We start from the raw sequence: 17,034 nt of genomic DNA, 5'->3' as shown, positions 1-17,034 counted from the left end.
GATCCACAATAGCTCAATCCAATTAAAGGCCTATTCAGGTTAACCATTTCAGTTACACTAGGTGGCTCTGCAAAGATAAAGGAAGTTGAACAATTCTGCATATTGACTGACATCATCACTGTCTTTTGTAAACTAGGTTGGCATTCATTTCTAGGGGCTTCCAGCAGTCACTGTTTGCTAAAAAAAAAAATAATAAAAATAAATAAATTGAAGAAAAATGGAAAACATTGATGTTTACCTGGCCTAAGACTTTTATGGCAAAAGCTCAGACCAAAGAGCAAATTAATGGATACATTGGTCCCAAACCATAAAGAGAAACGTTTGGAATGTCTTAAATGCTTCATACATATTTTATACTACTTTGGGAACATATAACAGCTTTGACTTTAGACCTTAACGATTTAGGAAATAAAAGAAAGGGAAATGATGTCTGGGCTGAACATGATCTGACAAACTGAATTTATGTCTGCTAATGTGAAATATTTATTTAAGCCAGTATAGCAGAGGGTGATATTCCATGGAATAGAGATAGAGCACATGAGTTCTAGATGTTCCCAGTAGCTATCAGTGCTTTATTCATAAATCATTAAATGTTGATGGGTTTGATATAGAAAACCAAGGCAAAAGGATTGCTGTACAGTGAGAAATATTGATGCAATTTGTATATTTGCCCAAATCCTATGTTGAGTGGTCATTCCCAGTATTGGAGGTGGAAACTGCTGGGAGGTGATTGGATCATGTGGGGGTGGATTTCTCATGAGTGCTTGGTGCTGTCCTTGTGATAGTGCTTGCAAGATCTAGCTGTTTACAAGTGTGTGGCACACCTCTGTCTCCTGTTACTCCTTCTCTGTCCATGTGATATGGCTGTTCGACCTTCACCTTCTGCCATAATTGTAAGCTTCTTGAGTCTTCTGCAGAAGCTGAGCAAATGCAGGCACTAGTCTTCCTGTAAAGCCCACAGAATCATAAGTCAATTAAATGTCTTCTCTTTTGAAATTACCCAGTCTCAGGTATTTCTTTATAGCAATACAAGAACAGCCTAATACAAAACCTAGCATGGTTTCTACAATCTATAAAGAACTCTTCATTTTCTAAATGTAGCTAAATCATGTGCAGCCCAAAACATTAATACAATGCATCTGACCTAAGGCTTAAATTAAAAAATTTATGATTAGCCCTTTCTCCTTGGACCTTCCAGACAAAGCCAACTTTTAATTGAGAGATAGGCTTAAATCTCATTTAACATAGAGATTCTGGCAACATGTAAGGCCTGAGCTCCCAGGGTGGCCAGGAAAAATACAAATTCTAAGAGATAAAATCTCTCATCATGTAGGCTGGGCTCAGTGGCTCATGCCTGTAATCCCAGCACTTTGGGAGGCTGAGGAGGGGAGATCATGAGGTCAGGAGTTTGAGACCAGCCTGACCAGCATGGTGAAACCCAATCTCTACTAAAAATACAAAAAATTAGCCGGGCATGGTGGTGCACGCCTGTAGTCCCACATACTCGGGAGGCTGAGGCAGGAGAATTGTTTGAATCTGTCAGGCGGAGGTTGCAGTGAGCCAAGATCACACCACCGCACTCCAGCCTAGGTGACAGAGTGAGACTCCATCTCAAAAAAAAAAAACTCTCATCATGTCAAAACTAGTCTCAATACATCCCTTTGTTTTTAATTTTAGCCTATCCTCTGGAAGTAAATATGGAATGGGGCAAAGTGCATACAATAAGAGTTGTTGAAACTACAAAAATATCTCACAAAATTTCAGCATAGAAAAATGTTCAATAAATTTTAATCATTATTTTTCATCATTATCAGCAGTATTAACAGCAGCAAAATACCCTAAAGGCTGTTAGGTAGTCTTATCAAATAGTCTATGATTTAGCAACTTTGAGTATAGTTATCTATTCTCAAATGATTCAATATGAACTTTTAACTTATAAGGCTACAAATTAAGGGAAGAATGTCTTTAATAATCACATAAAACAAGACAGAAATGGACACTATTTATAAAAAAATTATAAGACTTAGAAGAATAATGCATAGAATTATTTAGGCTGATCATGATTTGAACATGTTTCCTTTAACCTTAGGAAAAGTCCATTGAAAATAAGAGATAGTCCCAACTCTTGATCTCCCTAATGCAAAATATCTATCAAAAGATCCAGATGTCTTCCGCATCCTCATTCACGTACTTGACACTCCGTCTTTCTGTGGGGCAGGTGCATGTCACTCAAACTGTTTGTTCTGTTGGTATAAACAAACAGAACCAGTTAAACTGATTTTCCTCAAGCAATCTCTTCAGAAAGAAAGATTAGATTCAATTATTCAAACTGAACTAGGTACCCGATGGCCACCAGTCATCTGAGTCTATGACGAAGGTACCATCAATCTGTATCCTCCGATTCGTGCAGATTCCACATGTAGGGTAAAAAATAAATCACTTTTTTTCCAGAGGTACCATGTGTACCCTTGAGACTGCAATTTGTGAGTGGAATTTGGATAAGAGCATGCATTCCTCCTAAGAACATGGTGACTTCACTTTAGAAGTAGCTATAGAGACCTTCCAGTATTTAAGAAAATAGTACCAATAGGCCATGTAGCCCTCAGGTGACTACAGAGATTGCTCTAAAGTAAGGTTACCATTGGTTACTCAGATTACTTCTTGGAGGGAAAACTAATGTATTATTTTTGTGTGCTTTTCAAATAGTTATTCCAATGGATATCATTTAGTGTCCTAATAGAGGTCATTCAATTAGAAAAACTGATCAAAATTTGTTTCTGACTCTTGATGAAGCAACCAATGACAACACCTTGGCCCTGAAATACATGCAGGTCAGGTTCACTGTCCAGGGTTGTTATGGATGATTAAATTACCCTAGACTTTCTTCCTGCAAACCAGCTTTGTGCAATAACTAAGATGTCCTTCTGTACCTGGATTAATGCCATAGGCCAAATGAAAATGTCGATGTAGACGCTTTAGCAGAAATCTACATGGATTTCTAAGTTATACCCTAATAATTTCAACTCATTCAACTTGTTGATTTCAGGACCATAGGAAGCACTGTTGAGGTCAGCACTGTAGGTTGACTTCATTCTGCTATGTGAATCACTGTCAATATAAGCCTTTCAATACTACAGGAGACAAAACAAAATGATTTATTTTCACCCTATATTGCTCAGATTCATTAGAGTGGTCAAGGAAGTATCATACTCATAGAAAAATTTGTTAGAAGCAAAGACAATGTAGGAATGAGGAGTATATGTTTTGACAATTTTTCCCAAGTTCCTCACATTTCTGTATGTCTTACAAGCAAAGACACTGCCTCATTTTGTTCTGTCTTATCTTTTCAAGGATGTTTGTACAGCAAATAGCTTTGGAAGATAGCAATAATATCTCCCTCCAGAGAAAAGTGTAGGTTTGTTTAATGTACAGCATAGTAAAGATGACATTCCATGCTAGGCAATGACCAGGCAGTTTCACTGTCTATCATCAAGGATTTGAGTTCTCTAAGCTTGGGTCCTTTTCCTATAAACACATATCACATTTCTACATAGCAGGTAGTCTTTTTGTTTGTAACATTCCATGGAATTTGAGGCTCTGAGAACCAACACAAATGCTGATACTCTACATACTACTATTGCAATAAGTAACAAAGCTGTTTCTCTCTGACCCAGGAGTCTTATGTATTCTGCCATCTGCCATAAAACTGTGTCTATTAAGTTTTTAGTTTGCAAATAAGATAAAATCTCAGACCCTTCAGAGTTTTTGACAGAGGTTGGGCATAATCATAGTAGTAAATATTTTTATTTTTCTACTATATTTATACCTTGTACTTTTTTGTGATAGTGACTGTATTTGTAGTGAGCATGAAAAATTACACTTATAATATTCAATGTCAAATGTGGAAGCTGACTCTTCATGAGATCATCATGTTTAGTTTTTTCATTCTCAATGGGAAAATGGTTGTGTTTATCAATTGTGACTATTTTCTACTAGTCTTAAAACAAATAGGTCAAGAGTATGGGTCACTTACTAGGAGCAGATTTATAAGAAAACAGAATATCTGTAAATACAAAAATGACTTTTTTAACAAAACATGTATTTGTAAGATGGACTAAGTTTATGCTGAGGCAACAAATAATCCTAAAATTCTTGGGACATAACACAAAGTTTGTTTCTCACTCACACAAATTCTGCTGACAACTTGCTAGCACAGATGCACAGATGCAATACATCCAGGCTGCTAGATCATGGCTCTCCATTTTTGCCTTCACACTCAACTTCAGAAGAGGAAGAGACTGTTGGAATGTTGCACAAACTTTTTCACTGCCTCAACATGAAAGTGACACGTGACAGTAACTCTCAGACTCCATTGACTAGCTATAGTCACATGACCCCACCAAATCACAAGGGGAATGAGAAGTGTCATCTCATATGTAGAAGGAAGATAGTACTTGTTAATTTTCTGTAAAAATTTAAAACAATTACCTTTGTATCTCATTAAATGAAAGTCATGTTTTGGTCACTATTGCTTCCCAATGTCTATATGAGAAAGTCTATAAATATGACCAAAAACACCTTCACTTCAGCTAGAATAATCACCTGGTTGTTTCTCAGGTGAATGAGCTGCACGCATTGTGAAAAATCACTCTTACATTTATCTTTCTATGAGATAATCTAACAAACAATGCTAATTCTCAGCTTCAGTAAATTTGGATAGTTACTTAAGAAGTAGTTTTAAGTATACTTTATTATCCGATTTAGCCCTCCTAAAATCCTACAAATTAGATTGTTATAATTATTTCTATTTTTTAAATCAGGAAAAGCAGTTAAGGAGAGGTCAAATGATCTGTTCAGAGATTCAAAGCCAGGGCTTTGGGGAATCCAGGCAGTTTATCTCTTGAGACCAAATTCTTCACTACCTCAGTATACTACCTTCTTAAAATATTCACATATTACTACAGCACGCATTTGGTAGGGTTATCAAATCAGCAATATCTCTTAGGCTGGTACAAGGACAGTCTCACTGTAAAACAAAATGATGATCTGGTCTCAAGTATGTAGACAGACTTAAGTTTAGTAAAACCCAGAATAGGAGGGTACTTTGAGAGTGAAGAAAGTTGAAGACATTTTGTCAATCTAAGCTACTTTTTTGCTTTATTCTACTTCATAATTTGCATTGTGAAGACTGGTGAGAGACACTTTGAGGTCTTGATTATGTGACTTTGTTTTATATCCAGAGTACACACGATCCCTATCGATGTTTTACAACCATTCTTTTAGAACATAATTAGGAAAGGCATGATTATATTTGGGGTAATAATCATAAATTGGTGGATTTCAATGGCAGCAGTGTTTAAATTTTACTAACATTAAAAATTTAGCATAATATATTGGATATCTCTATGTTAAACAATAATTTTTGAACTTATAGTATTTTATCAGTGCAATTGTATGTCGATTATCTGACTTAGTATTTCAAATATCTGGTTAGAAAGGTAGAATATTCTTTGTTACTACCATATAGAGATGAAAAAAACTGTGGCAGGGGTTAAATGGCCTTATTTATTTTTAAAGCAAATTAATCTCAGGAGGCTGAGGCAGGAGAATGGCGTGAACAGGGGAGGCGGAGCTTGCAGTGAGCCGAGATCGCGCCACTGCACTCCAGCCTGGGCGACAGAGCGAGACTGCCTCAAAAAAAAAAAAAAAAAAATTAATCGTATGAGCTATTTATTCAGGCTGGGTGACAAGGAGTGAAATAAGATATATTTAAGATATTAAAGAGTGTACAAGAAGTGAAATAAGAGATATCTTAGATATTAAAGAGTGTTCCATCTACAAGATGGAACAGTGAGCTGGTAATGAAACTAAACTGATCAAATATAATTTGATTAAGGTTCTATTAGGATAGTATTTTGATGCTTTGGTTCTGACCTAGTTCAATTAATTATGAACACAAAAAGAAGTTACAATTTAAATTGATTTTGCTCATGGTTCAATTCATAGTTAATATTTTGAAACAGCTAAGTACATTCAAGGGCTTATTCCAGTTTTAGATTCGAGATTTGGTTGTAAGCAAGTTGTTAATGAAATTGGAGCATACTTAGGAAGGAAACGGAAGAACATAGTACAGTTATATTTTGAGAGGCTACGTTTCTATCTTATTTAATCTTTATAAGTCTGTGAAATATTGTCATTATCTCCACATTACAGGTAAGTAAACTTAAAGCATTATCTTCGTTAGGTAACCTTTCCAATAGTCACCAAATAGAAAAAGTAAAACTTAGAATTTCTCTGATTTTATGACTTGGATCCCCATTTACATTTGATAACCAGTGTATGCCTTTCATGTGTAAGATAGTGTGGCCATTCTACATGGGCAACTATTTCTGATTAACTTTCTATTTGTTTTCTCTTAGAGACTGTGTAAAACGTTTGTGTTTTATCTACCCAAATAGGGCAGAGTAAAGTGTTGTCAAGAAACTTCTTCGTAAAAATATAGTTTAGTTTACAATTTTAGTAGCACATTAAACTATTTTCTGTGACAATACTCACATATGTATACCCACATATGTAAACTCTTCCCAATCACATCTGTTAGCTTTCATATAAATATGGCCCCTATGTTATAGAAGATTCCTAAAGTCCTGAGGGAAAATTAGTTCAAAGTTATGTAAAAGTGATTTGGAACAAGAAAGGAGTATAGAATCCACAATTCTACACCTGGATTCAGGAGAATTACCATTTAGATACAGTACTGACCCCGACTCAGGAGATTTGTTTTGATATTAAGAGAGCTCTTTTGTATCACCAATATCTTTTCAAGCTAGGATGTTACTGCATTTTTCAAAAAATTACAAACTAATAAAATCTAAGGGAATTCGCCAGATTTCTAGAGAGTTTAAATTCCACACATGCAAACTGTCAGCTTTAAGTAAGTCATGCAAAACTCTATTTAAATGAGTCAGCCTTTCCCTGAATATGGAAAATGGGAAATGTTATTTGGTAGTTAGAATAAAATGGTTTGAATGGAGAGGAATAGATTAAACCTGCTCACAGTCACTGAGCAGAGATAATAAGAGATGATTTGAAAGTGGAAATAGTCATTTGTGATGGACTTTGCTGTTAACACACTAGCAAGTGTGAATGCTTTAGAGAGCATGGGTGAAACCAATAAGCATGCCTCCATCCTTGTAAATGAAGCATTCACTGGAGGTTCCTTCCTGCTAGAATTTCATTCAGTTTGCTCTTGACTTTCATTTGCCAACCAGCCCACAAGGGACACAAAATAGAAATACATCAGTGAATTCAAAGCAGGAAACCCTGTGGAAAAGGTCCCCTGAAGAGATCTTAGCAGGGTGATTCCTAATTGACAACCAAGATTCATACAAAAGAATGCTAAGGGCATATTATTTTAATTACATGGTGGCAGAGAGCTTAAGGGCACAGCTTAGGACTTATACAAAACAGGATTCCAGACCTGATTTGTGCCTATTTTTTGTGCTAGCTTTTATGGGCAAGTTAATTTCTTTGAGTCTCAGTTTCCTTGTTTGTAAAAGAGAAATAATTGTGATACACATTCACCATGGATTGCATTAGGTCATAGATACAAAATGCTTGGCACAACACCTGGTCCACAGTAAGCTGTCAATAAATGTTACTTAAAAACCAAGACAAAAACAACTCTATCACAATTATATACTTTTTTGACTGTTTGCATATAGAAGTAATGTATTGACAAGCATTCTAAATACTTCATTGAGTAATGTTTTTCAAAGTCTTACTATGCACCTGTGCTGAAGCCCTGAAGTCCCCAGACACCAAGATAAGACATATTCTAGGAAACATGTAATTTGTGGGTAATTTATGGGATAGGGCCCATAAATTCCATCAAGTTTCCAGACCTCTGGACTTTTAATATCTTACCACTTGCAAAATATGGAACTTAATTGATAACTTCCCATACCACAATTCCCTCCCTAAACTCTCTCCTGGGGGAAGAAATCAGCTTGCAATGGCCATTTTTTTCTCATTCTCTTTACCTCTTTTAAACTGCCTTTTTATGTAAAATGCTTTCTGTGACTGATAAATGTCCTCTTCTATGTGCACTAGTTAATTACTTCCCAAAGCATCTGTTGCTTTTCAAAAGAACATGTTCCACACGTTCTTAAAAATAGCTTTTCTTTCTACAAAATTTAGTTAAGTCATTCTGTGTGGGGAATAAGATAAAGTACCTTCCAATTGTTAGGCACCTATTATCTGTCAGGTATTTCTCTAATAATTTTCTTTAATCCTTTTAGCAACCCAATGAGAGGGGGAATCTTATACCCATTTTCCACATCAGGAAAAAAAAGAATCATAGAAATCAAATTATTGCTACATAAATTATACCTACATTTACCTCTGTATTTGTTTTAATTTTTTTGGTGGGGAGAATGTTTTCTGATTTGACATCTGGATTGTGGAAACCATATGATACAGTCCTATTATCTCCCTTTTAGAAAAAAAATTATAATAACACCATCACTATCAAAATCACTTCCTAAAATACTCATTAATTTTAGATTTTGGAGCATCAACCCCCCAGCAAAGGGCTCTATATACAGTAAGTAAGCATAGAAGACAAATTTAGTAAGCAAAATTCTAAGATGGTCTCCAAAATTCTGCCCCTCTGCTTAAATATCCCCAATATAATCCTCTTCCCTGAAGTGTGAATGAAATTTATAAATATAATGGGTCATTATGTCTGTGATCACGTAACGTTATTTAGCAGAATGGAAATATCAGATTTAATTAATGTCCCTAATCAGTTGACTTTGAGTTAATAAAATAGAGATTATCTTGGGTTGGCCTGATCTAATTAGATGAATGCTTAAAAGAAATCAGATGGATTCAAAGTGGGAGATTACTGCTGCTTGCACCGAAGAAGAAAACAGCTCTATTGTGAACTAAGTATGGATGGGGTCCCATTGCAAAGAACCAAGGATGGCCTCTAGTTGCTGAGGGCAGTCTCTCACCAATAGTCAACAAGAAAGGGTGTGACTTACTCTGATAACAGCAAGAAACTAAATTCTGACAACAACCACACAGCTTGGAAGTGGACCCTGAGCTTCCAATGAGATTAGAGTCTTGACTGACACTTTGACTTCAGCCCAGTGAGACCATGAGTAGAGGATCCAGGACAGCTATGCCTAGACTCCTAGCCCATACAAACTGTGAAATAATAAGTGTATATTATTTTAAGCCTCTAAATTTGTGGTAATTTGTTACACAGTACTAGAAAACTAGTAGGTCAAGTTAAATGCCAAATACGGCATAGACAGTAAGTACTATAGAAGTCTGGCAAGGTAAAAATAAATCAATTTGGGGATGGGAGGGATGGTTATACTGCTGCAGTAAAAGTGTCTTCAACTCAATAAAGATTGATGTTTCATGCCAAAGTTTTCAATTCTACTTTCCTTTGTAATATGTCATTTTCTTAGATTGGTTTCCCCAGAAGCCAACCCTAAGACAAGGATTCAAGTGCAAAAAATTCATTATGGAAATGCTCTGAGGAAAATCTGGGCAGAGGAAAGGAAAAAGCCAATTGCAATTTTAAAGGGGCAATTTAAGGCAAAATCTCAGAGATAGCTGAATCTCATATGAACATCCATGTTGTAATTGTACTCTAAACTTTATCCTTACTTGAGACAAGGGTACAGGCACTGCCAACTCACTGCATGCAAAAGCAAATCAGAAAGCTGCCTCAGTAATTTAAGAGAAGTCTTTGTAAGTCCTTGTAAGAGAGACACAGGTGTAGACAGTTAGAGAAAAAAACAAAAGATGTGCATGATAATTTCCCAGAAATGTATAAAAGGAGGTGAGTGCATCTAGCTAATGTATGAGCAGTATATACTAAAATTACGAACCATTAAAAAGATTACAATTAACAGCTTAATAACTCTAGAGTACTGCTTATGAAACAAATTACAAACAATAAATTGATTAAGAAATTGAGTCTCTGACTACTACTGTGGCTGCCATTCATTAAATGACTACTAAGTTCCAGACACTATTTCATTTAATGCTTAGCACAACCTTATGACATTAGTTCTATTATAATCCTTATTTTATACTTAAGAAAAATTTTGGATCAGGGAGATTAAACACCCTTAACCAGTGGACACTTTTTGTACATGAGTGAGCTAAAGTTTGAATGCTTTGAGTCAAATTGTGTCCCCATTCCATTACACTAAGCCACTATATCTTCTGTAGGCTTGAGTTGAGATGTTGGCAAATTATGTAAAAATAACAATCATAAAAAGCACTTACTGTGTGCCAGTATTTCAAGTACTTTACATAGTTAATATAAAACCCAAGAGTGTATGTCTTTATCATCATTTGGGGTGAGGTGTGTCATATACTTTGGGCCTCACAATATACAACAATGAGAGACACTCTAATATCCTGGAAAGATTGTGCTTACAATTTATTTTTCTCCCATTCTCCTTTCCCTCATTTCTTTTGCTTCCTTTATATATTGATTTATTATTTAACAAACTGGTATTGGGTAACAAATTTATGATGAACCCCATGATGGTATTTAATAAGGTATAAAAGATCATATAAAACCTGCCTCCTAGGAACCTACAATGTTTTACAGAAAATCAGATGAATGCATAAATGCCTATAACATAAGAGGTACTATTCTATAGATATTCAAGGGTGAAAGAAATTGTATTTATTAGAAATTTTTGACAGCTGAACTAGACTTTGAAATGGATTTCAGACTTGTTGCAACGGAAGGAAAAACCACCTTAGATGGAAGGAACAGTGTGAACAAATCTGTGAAGACAGGAAGGAGTAGGTTTTCTGGTATTCAGGTAGTTCAATTTGTTTGTAGCAAAGAAAAAGTTAGGGGGAGGACAATGTAGATGGGAGCCAGGTGATGAACTCTGAATGCCAAATTAAGAAGTTTAGGCTTTAATTTTTGCTCACAGCTCAAAGTTCCAATTTCTTTTTTTTTCTTTTCTTTTCTTTTTTTTAATTTGAGACGAAGTATTGCTCTTGTCACCCAGGTTGAAGTACAGTGGCACGATCTCGGCTCACTGAAACCTCCACTTCTCCGGGTTCAAGTGATTCTCCTGCCTCAGCCTCCCAAGTAGCTGGGATTACAATCATCCACCATCTCGCCCAGCTAATTTTTGTATTTTTAGTAGAGATGGGGTTTCACCACGTTGGCCAGGCTGGTCTCGAACTCCTGATCTATGGTGATCCACCCACCTCGGCCTCCCAAAGTGCTGGGATTACAGGCGTGACAACATTCCAATTTCTAAAACTGTTTTGGGTAAGAAAACAATCAGATTTTGGAAAGTACTTAATGTATATTTTTACTCAGGATAATGGTCCATCCCTTGATGCAAAGCCAGAGGGATATTTTAAGAGATTTTGTGTTGGTTTTTTCTTTTTGGAGGCAGTCGGGGGCGGTTTGCTTTTTCACTGGATACCAGAGAAGAGGATAATGTGAGTTGAACCTCCTCTGAAACATTTTCGTATGGCCAAGGAACACCTGCCACAAGATTGTGTTTATTTTTTATGTCTTTTTAATCTGCTTACCAATTTTCAGTTAGAAAACAAAGCAACTAAAGGCACATTAAGTCTGAAAGCACCATAATCCTCACCTCTCTCTTAGATCAGTATCGCTTCTATTGAACAAGTTTAATTGTTTTTTGTTTCTATTTAAGGAGAGGGATAAAAACCTTATATATGAAACTTTCACTAATAACCTGAAACATCACCACAGAGACAGTTGGGTTATCCTGTTTGTTTGGACATCCACTTATTCACTTGAAATGCAGGTATGTAAAGTTGAGCACAGAAAATAACGAGCAAGTACTATTAGCAGTTTCATTATTAGCCAACAGATGTAAATCTCAAATTGAACAGCATCATGTCAAAGGAAAAAGTACCCTATAAGAATGAATTTTTGAATGTCTTCCAGGCTGCGATTAAACAACCCAATGTTTCCTTCATTCAGAAGTTCTACCACTAGCAACTGTTAGGCACTCTATGCCTCTAAATGCACATAGATAAGGTGGACATGTAATTTATTTTACAAAGAGGGATGGTTGTTATAAGAAAAGGAAAGAATATTAATAATATGGTAATGCAATCAGCATACATGTGAACTGTCAGGCAAACTGGGACATGCTATCACCCAATTTATATAGAAATCCAAGGAAGTTACGGGATCAAGCATATATCCACACCCATCGCCAACTTTAGCAGTGGGTGTGGATTCTAACTTTAACCAATTCCTTAGAACTTGGGGAAAAAAAAAAAAAAGCTCTGTTGGTCTTGTTGGTGACAGAAGAGTGTGTGAGCACCCCCAAATTCTCATTCTGGCCATAATTTACAGTGGCCTAAGAAGGTGTTTGAATTTTACGGATAGATAACTTTTTCTTAAAACCTTAGCCCCAAGATCATATGACATTATTGTTCCAGGGAAGGAAAGAAAGAAATGGGACTTTACAGATTCCCTATCTTGAACACTTTCTTTGGGAACAATGTCCATCATGACCCCAAATATGGAAGTGACTCACTCATCTCAACTCCTTTTTCATGATAGTTACAGGATTTATGGGAAACGTGCCTTTGGTAATGATAGACCAAAACTACTTTCCAGGAAATGCATCTGTGTTGGTCTCTCTCTCTCTGTCTGTCTCTCTCTCTCTCTCCCTCTCTCTTTGTATCTCTCAGCATGTAGACTCTTTGGATGAAAAACTAAGTATGGGCAGGCAAATTATATTTCAATTCTAGCTCTGCCACTTCCTAGCTGAGTGACTCTTGGTTGGATACTTAACCTAGGTGGACATTAGTTTCTTCATCCCTTTATAACACTGCCTAAAAGCCAAGCACTCTGCTAAGTACTTTATATGGATTATATCATTCCAGTTGTCACAACAGACCTTTGGGGTAGTTATTATTATTTCCATTTTAGATGAGAAAACAGATTATTATCTAACCTCTTCCCAGGCTTTATTTTTGTTTATGGCTTTTTAATGGTTATATTTCCAAGTAATGTATAATTTCCAAAAGACAGATTGTGTCTGTTTAGGTCAATACAGACACACATCATGTAATGCTCAGTAAATATTTGTTGAATGAAAGAGTGTATGAATGAATGCAAGAAAGTTGCTAAAAGTGATGTAGCTATTCAGGATCGGAATTAGGAGTTAAACCCAAGTAATCTGAACCCATAATCTAGATGCTTAACTACTTCTTTACATTGTCTTCCTGGCTTATTGTGCCATTGTGAATATTAAGTGAAAAACTTCTTATACTAGGAACTCAATAGATATGACCTCACTTCTTTTCCTTCTTCTTGAATTTGTAGTCCTTGAATATGCTGGGGGAACAAGAACTAAAAAACAGTCACCTTGTCTTGTCCAGCTCTCAAGGTGCTCACTCGTAGTAGAGAATTCATTTAATGGTTTACAATGGGTGAATATCTCTTTCCTTGGCAGGAAATCTATTTGAAAAAAACAAAACAAAACATGATCAGTTACTTGATACAATCATGAGATGTGATCGAGAAAAACTTATTAAGGAATTATTTTGTCAGAGTCAGTCTCTCTCAACAAGGTAAGCTACTTTTTCAATGTTTCTGATTAGAGTAGATCCTTGATGTTTATTATCAGTGTCATCATCATTAATGAAAATAGTACGAGAATATACAAAGATGCATAAGTGAGTAATGGTGTAACATTCTAACATTTCTAAGATGTGAATTTGGATCTTGCCATGCAAGATCGAAATTCGTGGTATTTGTAATGAATGTTATTTGATCCAGTATTCATGGTAAGACTTATAGCTATGGAAAAATAAGCAACCTAAGAATGTGAAAAAATTGGAACCCTTGTACGTAGCTGGAGGGAGTGGCAAATAATCGAACCACTATGGGAAACAGTTTGACAGTTCCTCAAAAAGCTAAACACAGAATTACCATATGACCCAGCCATATGCTCCTAGATACATATAAAAAAATCAAAAACAGGGACTCAAACAGATATTTGTATGCTAATATTTACTGAGGTATTATTTACAATAGCCAAAAGCTGAAAAAATCTTAAAAGTCCATCAAAAAAATTAATGGATAAAGAAAATGTGATATATACATACAATGGAATATTATTCATCTATAAAGAGGAATGAAGCTCTGATACATGCTATAACCTGGATGAATCTTTAAAAATTATGCTAAGTGAAATAGGTCAGACACAAAAGAACAAATATTGTATAATTCCATTTATATAAAATATGTAGAATAAGCAAATTCATAGAGGCAGAAAGGAGATTAAACAAGGGGCTAAGAGAAGACAAAAACCGGAAGTTATTGCTTAATGAGTTATTAAATTTTTGTTTGGGGCGATAAAAGCTTTTGGAAATTGATAGTGGTGATGATTGCATGACATTGTGAATGTAATTAGTGCATCTAAATTGTATATTTAAAAAGTGTCAAAATAGCAAATTTTATGTTTTGGATAGTTTATTATAATTTTGAAAAGATAGAAAAAAATAACAATGTGACTTTTTATTCTCTTCTAGGGCCAAATGTAGTAACTCTCACAAAATAATATAAAATGGGTTTTTTTTAAACAGAAAAAGAAGAGAATGTTTTCTGAAAAATGAAATTTTGGATAAATTTGAAGGGGCGTTAGACTGTGGCAAAGGAAATGCATGACAAATCTTGGGAATAGAATAAGGGAAGAAACTTGGTGAGAGCTATTTTACTTCCAAATTTAAAGATTTGCAGACTTTTCAAGAGAGATTTCTGGTAAATGTTATGAGTCAATTTTGGCACAAAACTTCCTGGAACTAATATCACTATCACAGTATTTCTCAGCATGAAAATAGGTCTCAAAGTCAACAATTTGGGGTATTTGGGGTTAAATTGATTATATAAGCCCAATAATAATAAGATTATGTAAGTCCAATAATAATAAAATTATTATTGCAGCTCTGCTCACACTGTTTAATATGCTAATGTACATTGTAAATTACCAACAAAAAGATCCTGTCTTCAGCAGTTCCCAAATTCAATTTACCATAGAATTCATTTAAACATATTATCACTAAGACAAATATTTATCCAAACGGCAGTCTTGTTGGAGCTGCCACACATCATGTCTACTCCCTTCTCAAATGAGAGGCCAAATGCGATAAACTATAGCTTTGATAAAAAATATTCATATCCCTCCCAGGATGAAGATTAATTTTCTCTATTCACCTGTTGTTAGGCATGCTCTTGTAACCTGCTCTGGCCAATAAAATCTGAGTGAAATTTCCTGGAAGAGCTTTGTAGAATCAATATGTGGTACTCATTCTTCTTCTACGAGATGAGAAATGTTCTATATCGAAGCTACTCTGTCAGCCAAAATAGTGATAGACATGTTCTGAATGAGGGAGAAAAATAAGGGCGAATATCAATGATTGAAAAGGTACACTAGTAGACTGTATTACTGTTTAAAACTATTTTCTACTTTTCCCTGTAGAAGGATTACATTTCTCTTTCTCAATAATATCAAGCACGGTCATGGTGAAACGGGAAAAGTTCCCTTGTCCTCCTCGCAGGGCTGTGCGATGAGGTGTGGCTCACTTCTTCAGCGCCCCGCTGCTCACACCTCTAGGGGAGCATACAGACAGGGAGGCTGTGAGGCTCCAACCCCGTGACAGTGTCTAGGGGTGGATGTTTACAGCTGAAGCCCCAGTGGGTGTGTGTTACAGGGTGCTCTTTTAATTTAGCCATCCGTAAGTGGCTTGTGTTAGCTCAACCCCTGCCTTATTGCAAGGACAGAGGGCTTTCTGTATGCCGGGGTTCTTGCCTTGGTGTACCGGAAGAATCAGATCACGCGTGGGCTTGGAGAATGACTGCTAGGCTTCATTGAGAGGAAGAAGCTCTCAGCAGATGGGGGAGCCAGAAGGGAGATGGTTTTCCCCTGGAGTCTGGCTGCTTGGCTGCTGACTCATCTCTGACTGCCTCAGCCAAACTCCATGTCGTTCCACCAGTCAACGGCCTGCCAGCGTGCTGGTGTCTGTCATGTGCTCTTCTGCTGGCGTGCTCCCCGCAACGTCCAGCTGCTTGTGTCTTCTTCCACCAGTGTGTTTCTCTCGACGTCCAGCCATTTGTGTGTGTGCCCGTTAGGGTCTCGGGTTTTCACAGGCACGGGATAGGGGCGTGGCAGGCCAGGATTGTCCTGGGAAATGCAACATTTGGGCAGGAAAATAAAAATGCCTGTCCTCACCTAGGTCCGTGGGCAGAGGCACAGAAGGGAGCCCTAGCCAGGGACCACGCCCTTCCCCACTTCTGTGTCATTTAAAGGGACCATGCCCTTCCTTTCGCAGCCCTTCCCTTCCCCTCCTCTGTATCAATGGGGCTTATTTGGCCAATTCCATGTGAGCAGAAGTAATGTGTATCCCACGTAGTGAGCCAACGTATGGTGTGCTATACTTATTTTCTCTATCTATCATACTGGTATTAGTCCAAATTGAGTCTATTCAGTAAGTGTGGATCTTAGATTAAAGACGACACAGAGAAGAGCTGCAGCCTCAATGTCTTACTCTGGTATGAGTAAGAAATGAATCATTATTATTTTAGACCACTAACAGTTTGGAGCTATTTGTTACCTCAACATAGCCTAGCTTAGCCTGATTAATAGACTAGGAAACTCATCATAGGCTAATTAAGTATCCCATCTCCATAGACACTGTGAGTGTTCCAGGAATAGGCTTATAGGTCAAGCCAAACTAACATCCTTTCCCAGCATTTTTTGAATTTGAAAAGTTGGTTTCAGTCTTTATTTTTTCTCTTTGTGTTTCAGTTTTACAGTTTCTATTTTTATGTTTTCAAGTTCACTAATGTGTTCTTGTACAATCTCTAATTAGAGGTCAATTTCATCCAGTGAGATTTTTATTAAATTAAAATTATTATTTTTATTAAATAAATTTAATAAATTTATTAATAAAATTTATTGAATTTATTAAATTCATTTATCA

At 36.3% G+C, this 17,034-nt stretch overlaps 2 long non-coding RNA genes across 2 annotated transcripts in view; one reads left to right on the top strand and one right to left on the bottom strand.

Annotated features, from left to right (window-relative positions):
- LINC02745 (long intergenic non-protein coding RNA 2745) overlaps positions 1–17,034 on the top strand; it is an 83,737-nt gene that overhangs the window by 3,088 nt on the left and 63,615 nt on the right. Inside the window, exons 2-4 of the long non-coding RNA NR_135065.1 lie at positions 11,724–11,837; positions 13,506–13,623; positions 14,641–14,756. This is a non-coding gene — a long non-coding RNA (long intergenic non-protein coding RNA 2745). The remainder of the gene's footprint in view (positions 1–11,723; positions 11,838–13,505; positions 13,624–14,640; positions 14,757–17,034) is intronic.
- LOC105376641 (uncharacterized) lies at positions 2,191–15,434 on the bottom strand. Its single transcript, XR_931220.3, has 3 exons — positions 15,269–15,434; positions 13,418–13,510; positions 2,191–2,243 (listed from the first exon to the last, which is right to left on the bottom strand). It is a non-coding gene; the product is annotated as an uncharacterized LOC105376641 (long non-coding RNA).

The sequence above is a fragment of the Homo sapiens genome, chromosome 11 (genome assembly GCF_000001405.40).
Source record: "Homo sapiens chromosome 11, GRCh38.p14 Primary Assembly".
Classification (NCBI taxonomy): Eukaryota; Metazoa; Chordata; class Mammalia; order Primates; family Hominidae; genus Homo; species Homo sapiens.
Note: the sequence above shows the minus strand (reverse complement) of the source record. Positions and strands in the feature narration are given on the sequence as shown.